Below are 16,079 nucleotides of genomic sequence, written 5' to 3'. Positions count from 1 at the left end.
AGAGCAAGACTCCGTCTCAAAAAAAAAAAAAAAAAGAATAAGGTAACAAAAGAATAAGATGAATCTAAATCCCTCTCATGAAAGTATATCCATGCTATAGACTTACAGAAAAAAGCATATGGCAGGACATAGCTATCATTTTATATTACTAGTCAAAAAAAAAAAAGTACAAGGCTAAAACCAACCTGTTAGCAGCGAATGCTGCTGTTGAGAGTGGGATGGGATAGGGTGAGTGAGATATAGGGGACTTTTATTTTTATTTTTTCATTTACATACACTTCCTTTTTTATTATAAACTAGTATTATTACTTTTAAAAGTTATCTAAGGTATTTTTTTAAAGAGAAGGAAGAGGCTGGGTATAATGGTTCACATCTGTAATCCCAACACTTTGGGAGGCTGAGCCAGGAGGATCACTTGAGCCCAGGAGTTCGAGACCAGCATGGGCAGCATAGTGAGACCCCATCTCTACAAAAACACACACACACACACACACACACACACACAAAATAGCTGGGCATAATGGAGCATGCCTATAGCCCCAGCTACTCACAAGGCTGAGGTGGGAGGGTCCCTTCAGCCCAGGAGTTGAGGCTGTAATGAGCTGTGATCACACCACTGTACTCTAGCCTGGGTGACAGTGAGACCCTGTCTCAAGAAAAAAAAAGGAGAGAGAAATAATCAGAACCTGGAGGAGAGTGTGCAGCCACTCCTGCTCTCCCTCCCAACACTGCAAAACCCAGCTCTCAGGGCACTGCCCTCTTGTTCTCAAGTCCTGGTCCCTGGACCTGGGTGATGGGGCAGGCCAGCCACACCCTAACTCAACTATGATTTGTATTTTCAGGACGGGGAGTCAGTATCACAGTGAGGGGTGTCCAGGGTCAGAAAGGGGAAGGTACAGTAGGAAGAACAAAGATGAACCCATACCCAACTCGTGTTCGGTATAAAACACCCTTCCAGTTAACAGGAGGGCATTCTAACTAGAGTCTGGAGATGCCCCTTCTCCTACCTCCCTACCTCCCCTCCCAGAGGGGACACTGTTACCCCCAATCCAGAGGGGACACTGCTCACTTCCCTAGGCACCCCAACTCCACCTCCTTGGGAGCTGATATGGTTTGGCTGTGTCCCCACTCAAATCTCAACTTGAATGGTATCTCCCAGAATTCCCCCGTGTTGTGGGAGGGACCAAGAGGGAGGTAACTGAATCATGGGGGCTGGTCCTTCCCATGCCATTCTCATGATAGTGAACAAGTCTCAGCGAGATCTGATGGGTTTATCAGGGGTTTCCGCTTTTGCTGCTTCTCATTTTCTCTTGCTGCTGCCATGTAAGAAGCACCTTTAGCCTCCCGCCATGATTGTGAGGTCTTCCCCAGCCATATGGAACTATAAGTCCAGTTAAACCTCTTTTTCTTCTCAGTCTCGGATATGCCTTTATCAGCTGCATGAAAACGAATTAATACAGGAGCTCTCCCCAGACACCGCAGCCCTGACTCCAGTATCCTGAGCGTCTCCATCCTCTCCAAGATGCCTTCCGGGCACTGGGGAGAATCAGGCCGGGCCCCGAGCCCAGGCCCCCGAGCCCCATCCTGACCACCCAATCCTGACCGCCCACTCCCCAGCTCATATCCCTCTCCCTGGCTGATCACGGCCAACCTTCTCCACCGAGGCACTGGATTGAACCAACATATTCTTCTGCCATTCTCCTTTTCTCGTTTCATCCTCTTTGTAAATGGACTGTTTGCTGTGGATCTTGCTTGACTGCCTGGATGTGCCAGAAGCACTGGAAGGTTTCTGGAAAGAAAGATGGGCACCCAAGTCACCATGAGGGTGTTTCCCTTCCCCATAGGGGACCAGAGACCAGAGGAAGATGATAAAAGAGCGGCACTCCCAAGCCCCCGCAGTAGGTACACTGGCCTGGGAAAAGCAGCGCTCAGTGGATCCCGGAAACCTCCACTTTAAGCTCCCAGCAATTTTGCTAGAGCAAAATTGGGGCAGAGACTTGAGTTTGCCTCTGGGGAAGATGCTTCCTTTGTCCTGGAAGAGACCATCCTGGTTAAAAATGAGGATAAAGGTCGGTCGTGGTGGTTCACACCTGTAATTCCAGCACTTTGGGAGGCTGAGGCGGGCAGATAATTTCAGGCCAGGAGTCTGAGACCAGCCTGGCCAACATGGTGAAACCCCGTCTCCAATAAAAATACAAAAAATTTAGCCAGGCATAGTTGTGCACACCTGTAATCCCAGCTACTAGGGAAGCTGAGGCAGGAGAATTGCTTGAACCCAGGAGACAGAGGTTGCACTGAGCGAAGACCACGCCACTGCACTCTAGCCTGGGTGACAGAGTGAGACTCCATCTCAAAAAATAAAAATAAAAATAAGGATAGAGGGGCAAATATACCTATGCACCCATTTCCCTAGAAGATTTGAAAACAGTGGTGTAACCTCTGATAACTCAAAGATGGTATGAATGTCTTATGGTCAAGTGTACACGTCTTACAGCAAAATTATATCCTAGCAGACCATGTTGGATTTAGGTCTAGACTGCCCTATGCCTAGCAATTATTGTGTGTTTGGGGACGGTGGTGTTTCTCACTCAAGCCTCAGCTCCCAGGAATGGAAATCAGATTTTGACTACGAGAACAATCTCACTGGTTCCTCCTGCCCCATACAAGAGATTATTGCACTGATTGTTGGAATACTGTACTCACTGCTGAAAGTTCAAAGGCAAGCCATCCCCTGCAAGTAGGGAAACAGTAACTCCTCCTGCTCTTTCTCCCTACTCCCCGCAAAATAGAACTGTCAGCCATTCTTGGAAGGGCTAGTCCTGGGGCAGAGATGAGGCTCAGAGGAGGAGGAAAGTGGTTTGTCTGTGTCTGGGTCTCAGACTCTTACAGCCTGGTCTCCAAGCAGGTGAGACCCCATGGCTCCCTCTGCACCTGGGCCAAGGTCAGGTGACTTGCCCTTGAGGACTGAGAATGCAGCCCAGGATCTAACATCCAATTTTAGGTTTTCAGGGTTGTGTTCTCTTTGGGTCCTGCCTTTCAGCTTTCAGACTTTTAGGGCTGGTATTAGCCATGCCCTGGAAAGGGACCTAGCCCCAGCTCCAGGATAGATACATTGGGACTAAAACCAGAGGGTGCCCTGCCCAGGCCCACAATGCTCAAAACAAGTGAGTTGAGGGACCTAAAGGCACTTTGGAAAAAGTACATCCCAATAAGAAAACACACACACAGACGGTGTGTGAACGCCGGCGGCTAGAGAGTGAGGGTAGCCTTCTGGTTGGGCTCTCGCTCCCACCTGCTGGGGCACAGGCCTGTCTGGCTCCTTGTCTCTCGGGCACCGCATCACTGGGGGAGCCGACACCAGGCTCCGCCTCAGGTTGGTATTGGCCACAGACTCGGGGCTGAGACTGGAGAGCTTCCTGGAGGTCTTGTATGTCCACTTCTCCCGCTCCACATAGGGTCTGCTGGGCCTGTGGCTCTCAGCCAGGCAGTTGTTCACATCTTGCACCTGTACCAAGAAGAAAGCAGCCCCTAAGGCACTGCAATGTCGTAGAGGTAAATTCAGGACTGCCCCAGATCAATGCCAACACCACAGGGCCCTCCAGCCCCCCAGGGCTTGCTTCCCAGAAACCTAGCCCCCTTAAAGGCATCAGACCAGAGCTTCTAACCCCATTCCTGGCCAGCTGCAATGCCCTGAGTACCCACAGGCAGGACACTGCTCCCATGAGGAACTCAAGTCTTCTCATCTGTAAAATGGACAGTGGTTTCCAAATATTTTTGAGGCTACCTTTAATCTCAATGGAAGCTCCAAAGCATAAAACAGATAAAAAGCTGAGCTATTCTGGGGGAAACCCCACCTACCAGAGCCCCCCTGCAGTAGCTTCCAAGCATCTCTCTCCAGTACATTTGGAAAACCCCTGGATGAGGCGGCCCCTAAGGTCCCTTCCTGCTTTGATCTGCTGAGATATGGGAATTTGGAGACTGTATGGGTTTCCTAAGTCCCTGCTGGGGAGCCCACAGTGGTAATGTGTAGTAGCAATGGGAAAGGAGCGAGTAATCTACTAAAGATGGAGGACCAGCACTGCCAGCCTCTGAAGTCAGACTGCCTGGGTTTGGGTCTACTCCTTCTTGGCTGTGTGACCTTAGGCAAGGTGCTTCATCTCCGTGTGCCTCCATTTTCTCATCTGTCCAATGAGGATAATTACAGAAACTACCACCTACCTAACCAAGCTCCCCACCCCATCCAGAACAAGTCGCCATCATCCCTCCTGCTTCCCAGGGTGCTCCCCACCCTCCCTGCCCCACAGGATTCTGGTTCACAGCTGAGAGAAGGGTGGGAGGAGAGTGTGCTCCTGTTAACATACCCTCTTGGGCTGCAAGGGCGAGGGGCTCCTAGAGGCATTGAAGTTGAAGATGGGCTTGAGTGTGCCGGTGTTCCAGAAGAGGATGTCCCCACTGTAGGAGGAGGTCCCAAGGAACTGGTTCCGGTACTTGGCCATGCTCAGGATGTCCTCCGTGTGGTAGGTCTGCCAGTGGTAGCACAAGAGCACTGGCTTGGTCTTGTGGAACCTGTGCATATGGCCAGAGGCAGGAGGGCTGAGAGCTCAGCCTGTAATGCTCCATCCATTGGGGAAGCACTGGAGCCTTGAGGATTCTGGGAGCCGACTCAGAGGAGGATACTCTCAGGTGTCGGAGCTGGGCTGAAGCCATGTCCCATTGACCTCATTTACTAAGCGCTTACTACATGCTTTCTACAAAGGCCCTGTTGTAGGGGCTTTACATAAACTAATCTTACAGATAGTCAATGTGTAATACACCCCCAGTCAGACACCTAGGTAAGGATTAAGGTTTAAAGGGGGGGGGACATTGTGGCCTTACAGAGGTCCCTAAAAAGAAAGGGACCTTGAACATAGTGTGCCTTCTGCCTGGAATGCTCATCCTACCCTAAAGACTTCACAGAGACCCTTCCTTCTCACGCTTCAGATTGCACTCCACCCACAACACCCTCACTGAGCCTTTCCTGACCACCGCCCCCAAGAAGAAATCAGGTTTCCACCCATTCAACCCCCATAGAAACTCCTACTTTTTTTTCACAGCACTGAATATACTTTATAATTATAAATGAAAGTATTAATATTTGATTAGTACCTGCCTTCTTGATACAAACTGAATATTCATATTCTCCAAAAATTTATGTTAAAACCTAATCCTCAATGTGAGAGTATCTGAAGGTGTGGCCTTTGGAAGGTTATTAGGACAGAAGGGCAAAACCCTCATAAATGGAATCAGTGCCTTTATAAAAGAGGTCCTAGGCTAGGCATGGTGGCTCATGCCTATAATCCCAGCACTTTGAGGGGCCAAGGAAGGAAAATCGTTTGAGGCCAGGAGTTCAAGACCAGCTTGGGCAACAGAGCAAGACCACATCTCTACAAAAAAAAATTTTAATTAGCCAGGCATAGTGACACACACTTGTAGTCCTAGCTATTCAGGAGGCTGAGGCAGGAGGATCACTTGAGCCCAGGAGTTCAAGGCTGCAGTGAGCTGTAATTATGCCACTGCACTCCAGCCTAGGCAATAGAGCAAGATCCTGTCTCTTAAAAAAACTAAAACAAAAATAAGAGGCCCAGAGAGATCCCTTGTCCTCTCTACCATGTGAGAAAATGGCCATCTATGAACCAGGAAGTGGCCCTCACCAGTCACTGAATTTGCCAGTGCTTTAATCTAAGAACTTCCTCCAGAACTATAAGAAATAATTTTCTGTTGTTATAAGCCACCTACTCTATGGTATTCTGTTATAACAGCCTGAGTGAACAAAGACAGAAACTGGTACCAGGAGTGGGGTGTTATTGTAACAAATACCTAAAAATGTGGGAAGTGGCTTTAGAACTAGGTAACAGCAGCTGGGCAGGGTGGCTCATGCCTGTAATCCCAGCACTTTGGGAACTGAGACAGGTGGATCACTTGAGGCCAGGAGTTCAAGACCAGCCTGGCCAACATGATGAAACCCTGTCTCTACTAAAAATACAAAAAATTAGCCAGGTGTGGTGGCACACACTTATAATCCCAGCTACCCGGGAAGCAGAAGCATGAGAATCACTTGAACCCGGGACGCGGAGGCTGCAGTGAGCCAAGACTGCACCACTGCACTCCAGCCTGGGCCATAAAACAAGACTCTGTCTTAAAAAAAAAAAAAAAAAGTAGGTAATAGGTAGAGGATGGATGGTCCATGCTAGAAAAAGCTTGCATTGCTATGCATAGACCATTAAGGGTGATTCCAGTGAGGGCCTAGAAAGAAAAGAGGACAGATGCAGAGAAAGCCTCAATATTCTTAGAGAATACCTAAGTAATCCTGAACAGAATTTTGGTAGAAATATGGATGTTAAAGACCATTCTGGTGAAGTCTCTGGTGAAGAAATGAGAAACATGTTATCGGAAACTAGAGGAAAGGTCATACTTGTTACAAAATGGCAAAGAACTTGCTGAATTATATTTGTGTTCTAGTGTTTTGAGACAGGTAGAACTTGCAAGATAAGAAATTGGATATTTGACTGAGCAAATTTCTATGTAACATATTGAAGGAGTTCCTGGTTTCTCCTGACAACTTATAATAAAATGCAACAAGAGACAAATGGTTTAAAGACCAAACTGTTAATCAAAAAGGAAGCAGAATCCAGGAGCAGTGGTACATGCCTGTAACCCAGTACTTTGGGAGGCCAAGACAGGAGGATTGCTTGAAACCAAGAGTTTAAGACCAGCCTGGGCAACATAGCAAGACCCCATCTCTATAAAAAAATTTTTTTTTTAATTAGCAAGGCATGGTGGCATGTGCCTGTAGTTCTAGCTACTCTGGAGGCTGGGGTGGGAGGATCTCTTGAGCCTAGGAGCTGAGGCTGCAGTGAGCGATAATCGCATGACTACAGTCCAGCCTGGGTGACAGAGTGAGATCCCATGTCTTAAAGAAAAAAAAAATGGAAGCAGAACTTAAAAGATTCATCCTATCCATATAGAAAGGAATGAGAAAGGCTGTTCAGGAAAGAACATTGATATGGTTTGGCTCTGTGTCCCCACCCAAACCTCATCTTGAATTGTAATCCCCATATGTTGAGGGAGGGACCTGGTAGGAGGTGAGTGGATCATGGGGGCAGTTTCCCTCATGCTGTTCTCGTGATAGTGAGTGAGTTCTCACAAGACCTGATGATTTAAAAGTGGCAGTTTCCCTTGCACTCTCTCTCCTGCCACCATGTAAGATGTGCCTTGCTTCCCCTTCACCTTTAACTATGATTGTAAGTTTCCTGAGGCCCCCTCCTAGCCATGCACAACTGTGAGTCAATTAAACCCTTTTTTGTCATAAATTATCCAGTCTCAGGCATTCTTTATAGCAGTGTGAAAACAAACTAATACAATCATTAAAGACATAGCCAAGCACTGTTTGATGAGATTAGTATGGATCAGCCAACCCAACAGAAGCCAGTGCTGTTCTCCAAGACAATGAAAGAATGACCCTGAAGGCAACTCAGAGATCATCAGGACTGTCCCTCCCATCACCAGCCCAGAGTACAAGGGCTCTGGGGGCAGAATGGTTTCAAGGGAATGGCCACCAGTGCCCATGGGACCACAGCACTCTACCATCATCGCTTAACTTCACAGGCACCATTCTTCATGCTCCTTGACCACTCTAGGTGTGGCTCCTGTGGACCATGGTACAGCATGGACTGCACTCAGCAGAGCTGGGAGGACATGGCTGCCTCCACCACCTAGATTTCAAAGGACAGGGTCTCCCAGCAGAGCCACAGCCTTGGAATTGCAGCCCCACAGGGCCAGGGGGCTCATGCAGGGAAGTGCCACAGGGGCAGGGCCCAGGCATAGAGCCACCATGGGGGCAAGGCTCCCCAAATCTGTAGGTGTAGGGCTGCCCAGAGTCTTAGGGTTCCAGTCACTTGCCAGGCAAAGCTGCAGGGGCAGAATTGCCACCCCAGCAGGCCTGAAGGGCAGGGCAGCAAGCCAAAGAGGATTATCTTTGAGATTTAAGGTCTACTAGCATTTGCCCTGATGGATTTTTGACTTGCTCAGGACCTGTCCCTCCTTTCTTCTTTCCTATCTCTCCCTTGTGTCTATCCTATGCCTGCCCCACCATTCTATTTTGGAAGTACATAACGTGTTAGCATCACAGGTTCACAGCTAGAGGGGCATTTGCTTCAGAATGAATTGTAGCTTGAGACTCACCCATATTTTATTTAGGTGATATTTAGATGATATTTTGGACTTAGACATTAAAGTTGATACTGGAACAAGTTAAGACTTTTGGGCTATTGGGATGAAATGAATATATTTTGCATGAGAGAAGGACATGAATTTTGGGAAGTCAGGGACGGAATGCCATAGACTGAATTTTGCTCCCAAAATTCATATATTGAAACGTAATCCCTAAGGCGAGGAAATTTGGAGGTGGGGCCTTGGGAGGCGATGAGGTCACAAAAATGGAGCCCTCATGAATGGGATTAGTGCCCTTATAAAGGAGGCCCCAGAGAGATTTCTTAACCCTTCCACCATGTAAGTTTACAGTAAGAAGACAGCTGTCTATGAATCAGGAAGTAGGCCCTCACCAGGCACCAAATCTGCTGGCACCTTGTCTGGAACTTCCCCCATCTCCAGAACTCTGATAAATAAATTTATGTTGTTTATAAGCAACTCAGTCTATGATATTCTGTTACAGCAGCCCGAATGGACTAAGACATTCCCCCACTGAAATAGATACTCCAGGAGGATGAAGACTCCAATATTCTTGTTTATACCCATCCCAGGCACCTAGCAAAAGGCCAAGAATATATTAGCCTCAATGAATAATGAATAAATGGATGGATGAGCAGATGAAGCAATAGTCATTAACCACCACTAACTTCCTGCATGGTGTTCCAACCACCAGGAAAGCCAGGAATGGAGGAACCCATCTGGAGAGAGAACACGCAGCTACTGGAACCTACTCACCATACATGCTTTCTACTCACAGGAAATGAGTGATTCTCTTACTCCATCCTGTCACATAGAACACTTTGTTCATATGGATAATCCCACTAATCTGTTGAAGATGAAAGAAAACAGAACTAGAAAACTTATCAGAGAAAATGGCTCTGGGCCCTAAATGTCTTCCTAAAGGTGCCAAGCAAGAAGTCAAATCTCTGGATGACGAAAATCACCTACAGGTGATACCACCATGTATTTGTCATCATGTTCTCACATCCTATTCCCTCATTTGATGGACTTAGGGGAGTGAGATAGGGTAGGCATCCATGTCCATTTTACAGAGAGGATAGCTGGGAAATGGGCAAGTGACCTGGCTAAGGTCAAGTCACTACTGAGTGATAGGATCTGGAGCAGTACTCAACCCCTGGCATCTTGGCTAAGTACACTTTCTTTCTTCTTCTTCTTTTTTTTTTTTTTTGACAGAGTTTCACTCTTGCTGCCCAGGCTGGAGTGCGATGGCGGGATCTCGGCTCACTGCAGCCTCCACCTCCCGGCTTGTCCTGCCTCAGCTTCCCGAGTAGCTGGGATTACAGGCAGCCACCACCACGCCTGGCTAATTTTTTTTGTATTTTTGGCAGAGACGGGAGTTTCACCATATTAGCCAGGCTGGTCTCGAACTCCTGGCCTCAGGTGATCCCCCTGCCTCGACCTCCCAAAGTGCTGAGATTACAGGCGTGAGCCACTGCCTGGCCAGCTAAGTACACTTTCTGAGTTGGTTAAAGGACTGTGTCACAGAAGTTAGGGTGGAACTGCTGGCTTTGCCCTATGCCACTCCCATGGACTGGCCCTATAATACCATCAGGCATTTCCCAAATAGGGGTGACCATGGGTGGCTGTGAATTAACTGATCCCACTGCTAGAAATGCAATCCAAAGCTCCAGTATGTGGAATGAGAAGTGCTAGCAAATTTAAAGAGCAACAGTAGCTAACCTTAGTGGAAACCCATTAGTCCAGGCACTGTTACCTGTCTTCATTTCATGCATGAGGACACAGAGGCTCAGGGAGGTTTGAAGCCAGGCCACCTGACTATGATGAACACCCTTTCAGAGAGGTACAAAAAATAGTGCATCCCAGGGTCAAAGGAGCTGTGCTTTGCTTCCCAAGAGGCCGTCCCTGGCTGTAATTGACAAGCAAGACTGACCTCCAGCTGTTCCGGACTGGGAAAGGTCAACAGGCATTTGCCAATGTTGTAGTTCCACATCTTCATTGTGCCATCCCGCAAACCTGTGAGCAGGCACCGCTCTGACTCATCCAGGGCCATGGCGGTCATCTCCACGTGCTGGCCCCCAGACACAGCAAACTCCATCGTCTTCCTGCCCGTCACGACCTCCCACACACTCACTGTGCCGCGCAGGCAGCCACTCACCACCTGTAGGGAGCACACAGCTGGGGGCTGCTGGAGAGGCCGGGGCCTCCACTCCCAAGGGTGGTCTCCAGCCTGCCTTGGCCCCTCCCCTCCATCCACTGAGAAAACAGACGTTCAGGGCCCCCTGCTACAGCATAAGCCACTTTTGAAAACAGGACCTCCTCTGCCCTGTATCACAGGGCAGTGCAAACTGGAACGCACTGGAACGTTTGGTGAAGACCTGTTAACTCAGAAATGGCACTTATCAGGATCTAGCCAAAGAAAATAATCCCTATATGGAAAAGACATTACTGAAACAACATTAATCATGACCACCCCGTCAAAAAAATAAGAAATAAACTAACTGCCCCCTAAGTAGGGAACTGTTGAGAATAAGGACAGCCATGCCACTCAATGAAACATTTTGCCACCATGACCATTGTTATAATGCAAGAGTAGCAGGTAAGGCTGGGCACAGTGGCTCACGCCTGTAATCCTAAAACTTTGGGAGGCTGAGGAGGGTGGATCACTTGAGGTCAGAAGTTTGAGACCAGCCTGGCCAAAATGCTGAAACCCTGTCTCTACTAAAAATACAAAAATTAGCTGGGGGTGGTGGTGCATGCCTGTAGTCCCAGCTACTCGGGAGGCTGAGGCAGGAGAATCGCTTGAACCCGGAAGGCAGAGACTGCAGTGAGCCAAGGTCCCATTGCACTCCAGCCTGGGCGACAGAGCGAGACCCTGGCAAAAAAAAAAAAAAAAAAAAAAGTAGCAAGTGAGGTGGTTTCAGACCAACCCTCCCTACTGAGAAGATCTAGAAAAGTTGATAATTTTTTTAAATTTTAAACAAACTTTTTTAAGGTACTGAAGAGCCCTGAGGCAGTGAGAGAGGGTGGTGGCAGGAGCCAGGATGGGAGAGAAGCCCAGAATGGTGAGCTCCAGCCTTGTGCAGCCCAAGGCCACCTCTGCAGCCGATGCGGCGCACCTGTCCAGAGCCTGGGCCAGACAAGAGGTCCCAGTGGGTGGGAGTGAGCAGAGGGCCTCAGGCAGCAGCCCCTCCTATCCTCACACCTCAGAAGCAACTCCTCATGCCCAGCTGCCCTGCCCAACCCAGAGACTCCACGCAGGACCAAGGTGCTGCCTGCTGCCTGGGCCTCCGTCCCTTCCTACAATGAAAAAAGCCAAGTTATGGCTTCCCTGCAAAGAGATGCCCAAGAACAGCACCCACTCTGGGAACCTAGGAAAGCGCCCCACAACTAGCACTCTGTCTCATACTCCACATCAAGAAGGCCCAGTCCAGAGCTGACCCAAGGCGCTCAGCCAAGGGCATGAGGCTCAGAGGAGTTAGGCGATCCCATGGCTAACGGATGGAGCTCTGAGCTGATCCCACGCCAGCCCATCTGTAGAGCTGCTTTCTGTGTCTATCCCGCTGCCCCAGCACCACCATCAAGGCTGTAAGAGTTCCCAATGTGCCATGGGAGCTGACTACAGACCCAGGCACACAGGGAGGTCTGGTTCTGCCCCGTGTCACCTGGTGTTCCCGCCAGCCTCAGAGGCGAGCCCTGGGCCACTCACCTGCTTAAAGATCTTGCTGTAGAGGACAGCACACAGGGGTGAGCAATGAGTGGTCCTCTTCCTTGCTTTGATAAGCCCCTGGGCCTCTAAGTACCCTTTTAGGATCCCGATCTGTAGGTGAGGAAAGGGGCAGAGAGCTTGTCTGTCAGAAGGGCTCTGCTCACAGTGATGGGCTGCCGGGAAAAACTTCCAATAAATCACGACATCAAGACGTCCTGACCACACGCAGGCCTGATTCCAGCAAGACTCCAGGTTCCTCAGCAGGCCTGCAGATACCCCCACCCTACTCCATGGCCCCCGCTCCCCGAGACTGAGCCTTCCAAACCCTAGTGTTCCTAGAACCCCAAATTCCAAGTCCAAGGTCCCTTTCACCTTATAACTTCTGAGAAGCTGAAGCCTCAATCAGGTGTTCCCTCCGGGAAGCCCTCCCTGCCTCCCCCTTGCCCCAGGCGAGGCTAAGGATTCCTCTGTGCTCCAAAAAGCACAACTCTACCATAACACATAGCACTTTCTACCGAAATTATCTGTTTTTCTTCTACCCTGTAGGTTCCTAGAGAGATGGGACAGTGTCTTTGTCATATATTCTCTGTTCATGACAAAAGGCAGGGGGTTGATAAGGTTTGGTGCTCTGAAATGAACTTCAAAGGCCTATTTAATTCAGCAAATGCTGACCACCTGTCTGGCACTCAGCAAGGAGATAAAGGAACCCACTACCTTCTCAAGAAAACTGCTGTCTAGGGGAGGGCCAGCCAAGTGCGTAAGGATGACACACATGTCACCGACCAGGGTGGCCCAGCCCACGGAGCGTGGGAGGCCTTGGTGGAGCTCAAGCACGAGCGGCCCCCGCATCTCTTTTCTGGGCTTCTGCTCCCATCTGTGGGTTGTGGCTCAGCCTTGCAGCTCCCCAAGCCTCCACCTTCTTGTGGGCCCCCTTACCCCCATCCTCCACAGGAAGCCCCTCGTGCTTGTCCCAATCTTTCCTGTCCTCCAGGGTCAGGACAGACCTCACAGGGGTTCCAGCTGAGTCCTGAGTCACAGATGGCCTTCCTATCTGTGACTCAGTTTCCCACAGGGTCTCTCCTGCAGAGATGCTGCTCGGACGTGGCCCCTGTTTCCCAAAGTTCATGACTTAGCAGGAAAAACAGTCATGTAATAGCGACAGGACAGAGTTATGAGGCTCATGACTGAGACAAGGAACGGGGCCAAGAAAACATGGAGGAAGGGCTCCTAACAAGCCTGACGTTCAGGGTGGCTCCCAGAGGGAGAGGCTGAGGACGCCTGAGTGGGGACAGTGCAGACAGCAGCAGCAGCTGCAGAGAGGGTGACAGGCTGGGGGCCTAGAAACAGGATTTCAGGAAATCCCAAGACACGGCCCCTCACAGGCCAGGCCACAGAGTCTAGCCGCTTCAGCAGTCCCAGGAGGGACAGGACGTGGCCACCCCTTGGGTGTCCCATGGGATTCAGACCCTGGCCCTCCACCTGCGGCCTTGACCCCACTCCCTCCTGGGACAGCACTCACTGAGTAGGTGCTGCAGATGAGGGTATTGTCCTTCTCGAAGAAGTAGGCACTGGTGATGGGGCAGTTTCCCAGAGCAAAAAACTTCCCACAGAAGGACTGGAGGCATATGTAGTCCAGCATGTCCCACACGCGAATATTCTGGGGGATGGGAAAAAGGCAAGACGCTGAGCATGGGTCTCGGGGATGTAGCCGGCTCCTGAAGCCTCGGGGGTGCCTCCGGCGAACAAGGCCAGGGCACATCGTCCGTCCAAGCACTTCTAACACACACACATGGTGTTGGCACCGTCACACCCAGCAGCAGAGAGGCTACTCTTGTGCTCAGATAACCCAGGTACACAGTGAGTGAGGGCCGGGCACAGCTCCACCCCCAGCCTGCCCCCAGGCCTCCACCCTGTTGGAGCAGCTGAATTCACTGGCTGGGTACAAAAGCCAAGCCAGGCAGCACATGCTGGCCCCAGGCCCTCCCTTGCTGCCACTCCAGCCTGGGACACAGTCCGGTAGTGGCTACCAACATAGTTGCCACAGTGGCCTGCCTGTCCCCAGAGGGGCCCCTCCCATTCCTCCCAGGTGGAGGAACTTTCCCTAGAGGGCCCCACAGAAGTCCCTCCAAGACCCTGACTTCTTGGAGGCATCCTCTGCCCATGGCCGACTGGGGACCTCAGCGAGACTGTCCCTGTCCCCATGCCCCAGACTCAGACCCTTCATCAGAGGCGATGATCCCAGCTCCCAGGGCTTCTGGGAAAATTCCAGACAGGAGGGTGTGTGGATATGTTGGAGAGGGTGCTCCAGGTGACCCTGAGGGCCCTGACAATTCTCCATCTCCAGAGTTCCAGAAAACGTAACCTGTCCCCTAAAGGAGGGCCCCCAGCACTGTGGGCCCACAGCCCAGCAGACGGGGCAGTATCCTGAGCCTACAGCTGCAGAGGAGCACAGTGGCGGGTCCCAAGTGGGAGCCCTGGCATGTGGGAAAGGCCAAGCCCAGCCCTCATGGCCAGGCAGCCGAGGAGGGGTCACTAGAGCAACTGAGAGGTGCAGATCGAGGGCAGGGGCAGCGCAGGGGAACGGCTGCCATGCATTGCACAACTCCCCTGTGCCAGACACTGCACTGCTGTTTTGCTGCTGGTTCTCTAAACCACTCAACAGCCCATTCTATGGATAGGGAGACTGAGGACTGAGGCTCAGAAAAGGGAAGGACTTGCCAGGGTCACAAAGTTAGAAGCCAGGCTGGGCTACCTGGGAACCCAGCTCTGGGGACATGCTCAGAGGTCCATGGCCACCCTCACCTTCCTCCCACCCGGGGCCCCTCCTGCTAGGCCTTTGGCCAGATGTGGGGCCGTGGGCAGGGAGGTCATGCCATTTCTCTGGCCAGTGTGTTTCCCTGAGGAACAGAAGGAGTCAGGCGGACCGTCGGGGCGGACCTTGTCCTTGGAGACACTGATGAGGATGCTGTTGTTCCTGCTATCCACAAGGATGTGCGTCACTGAGGTCTGGTGTCCCTTCATCAGCCACACGGGCCTCTTTGAGACAAAGGGGTTCCACAGGCGGATGAAGGCATCGTAGCCACCAGTCACTGTGGTCAAGACGTGGGTGTCAGTCCCAGGGGCCTCCACTGGGGACCTTCACCCACTGGTGAAGGTGGTGCCCAGAAGTGGGGACAAGAGCAGCAGGAGAGGAAGCCAGACAGAGGCCAGATGCTGTGCAGCCCTCTCCTGAGCTCTGGTGGTCCCCCCATCCCCAGCAGCCCTCCCCCCAGCAGCTTCTGGGTGACATGAAGGTGACTTACCCAGGAAGTTCCTGTCTGGGCAGTAATCAAAGCAAAGAATCCCTTTCCTTAAACGCAGCACTGACAACCTACAATATCAAAGGAGTGAGGGCTGCAGGGCCGGGAGCAGTGGCCCCAAGAGAGCGTCTGAGACTGAGCCTGGGGTGGGAGGAGCTAGAGGCAGAGCCTCCCAGGAGGCCTAGGGAGGAGTCACTACCTCTCCATCCTAGGAGAGGAGTAGCCCCAGAGACCACCCAGGGTTCACCCTGCAGCCAAGTCAGGGCTCAGCACCACAGGCAAAGCAGCAGCCCAGTCCTGGCCCCAAACCAACAGCCCACAGGCCAGATGCCACCTTCCAGGTAGAGACAGCTCCCAGGCAGGAGCGACTCCTGACATTTGTAAAGCATTTGGCCTCATTCCAAGGGCAAATTTGATTTTCACATCAACTGTACTGGGACAGGCATCTTCCCATCCATGATACAAATCAAGAAAAAAGCGGGGTTCCAAGGGAGGGACAGAAAGGAAGCTCCCGGGTGCCCCACCCTGGCTACGTGTGGTCCCCATGCAGGGTGCTGTCTCCTGCATCATCTGGACATCTCATACAATGCCCAAGAATAGAACTGCCCTGCGCTAGGGATAGAGACACCAAAAGGAAAAGTCAAGGAGCTTCCCCAAGGTCACACAGGTTGCAAACAATGGGGGTTATGGGGTTTAGGACATGCTACCCCAAAATATGGCATCTTGGCATTTGAGACAACAGCAGAAGCAGCAGGAGGGCCACGCTTGCCTTCCCCTAGCCTTCTCCCTGAAGCAGGTCATAGAACACTGATTCCATAGGTGCCCACTCTATACCTATACCTAGG

General features: G+C 51.0%; 1 protein-coding gene across 10 annotated transcripts in view, besides 2 other annotated features; it reads right to left on the bottom strand.

Moving 5' to 3' along the window:
- EFCAB8 (EF-hand calcium binding domain 8) overlaps positions 1-16,079 on the bottom strand; it is a 102,923-nt gene that overhangs the window by 39,979 nt on the left and 46,865 nt on the right. For 4 of the 10 annotated variants that reach the window (NM_001143967.2, XM_024451883.2, XM_024451882.2 and 1 more), the window contains 9 exons: positions 15,238-15,305; positions 14,873-15,024; positions 13,455-13,592; positions 11,936-12,046; positions 10,160-10,387; positions 9,003-9,073; positions 4,362-4,566; positions 3,293-3,505; positions 1,652-1,789 (listed from right to left, as the gene is read on the bottom strand). In NM_001143967.2, coding sequence (NP_001137439.1) covers positions 1,652-1,789; positions 3,293-3,505; positions 4,362-4,566; positions 9,003-9,073; positions 10,160-10,387; positions 11,936-12,046; positions 13,455-13,592; positions 14,873-15,024; positions 15,238-15,305 — 1,324 coding nt within the window. Of the gene's footprint in view, positions 1-1,651; positions 1,790-3,292; positions 3,537-4,361; positions 4,567-9,002; positions 9,074-9,982; positions 10,078-10,159; positions 10,388-11,935; positions 12,047-13,454; positions 13,593-14,872; positions 15,025-15,237; positions 15,306-16,079 lie in introns of those variants that run through there. The other 6 variants (XM_047440146.1, XM_024451885.2, XM_047440147.1 and 3 more) reach the window with 6 other exon arrangements.
- Positions 3,374-3,890: an enhancer, noted in NCBI's record as "H3K4me1 hESC enhancer chr20:31505783-31506299 (GRCh37/hg19 assembly coordinates)". NCBI's record gives its function as "activates a minimal SCP1, AML or CMV promoter by ChIP-STARR-seq in naive H9 embryonic stem cells {active_cell/tissue: H9 hESC(naive)}" and the evidence as "EXISTENCE:reporter gene assay evidence [ECO:0000049][PMID:30033119]".
- Positions 14,622-15,122: an enhancer, noted in NCBI's record as "H3K4me1 hESC enhancer chr20:31494551-31495051 (GRCh37/hg19 assembly coordinates)". NCBI's record gives its function as "activates a minimal SCP1, AML or CMV promoter by ChIP-STARR-seq in naive H9 embryonic stem cells {active_cell/tissue: H9 hESC(naive)}" and the evidence as "EXISTENCE:reporter gene assay evidence [ECO:0000049][PMID:30033119]".

The sequence above is a fragment of the Homo sapiens genome, chromosome 20, assembly GCF_000001405.40.
Source record: "Homo sapiens chromosome 20, GRCh38.p14 Primary Assembly".
Classification (NCBI taxonomy): Eukaryota; Metazoa; Chordata; class Mammalia; order Primates; family Hominidae; genus Homo; species Homo sapiens.
Note: the sequence above shows the minus strand (reverse complement) of the source record. Positions and strands in the feature narration are given on the sequence as shown.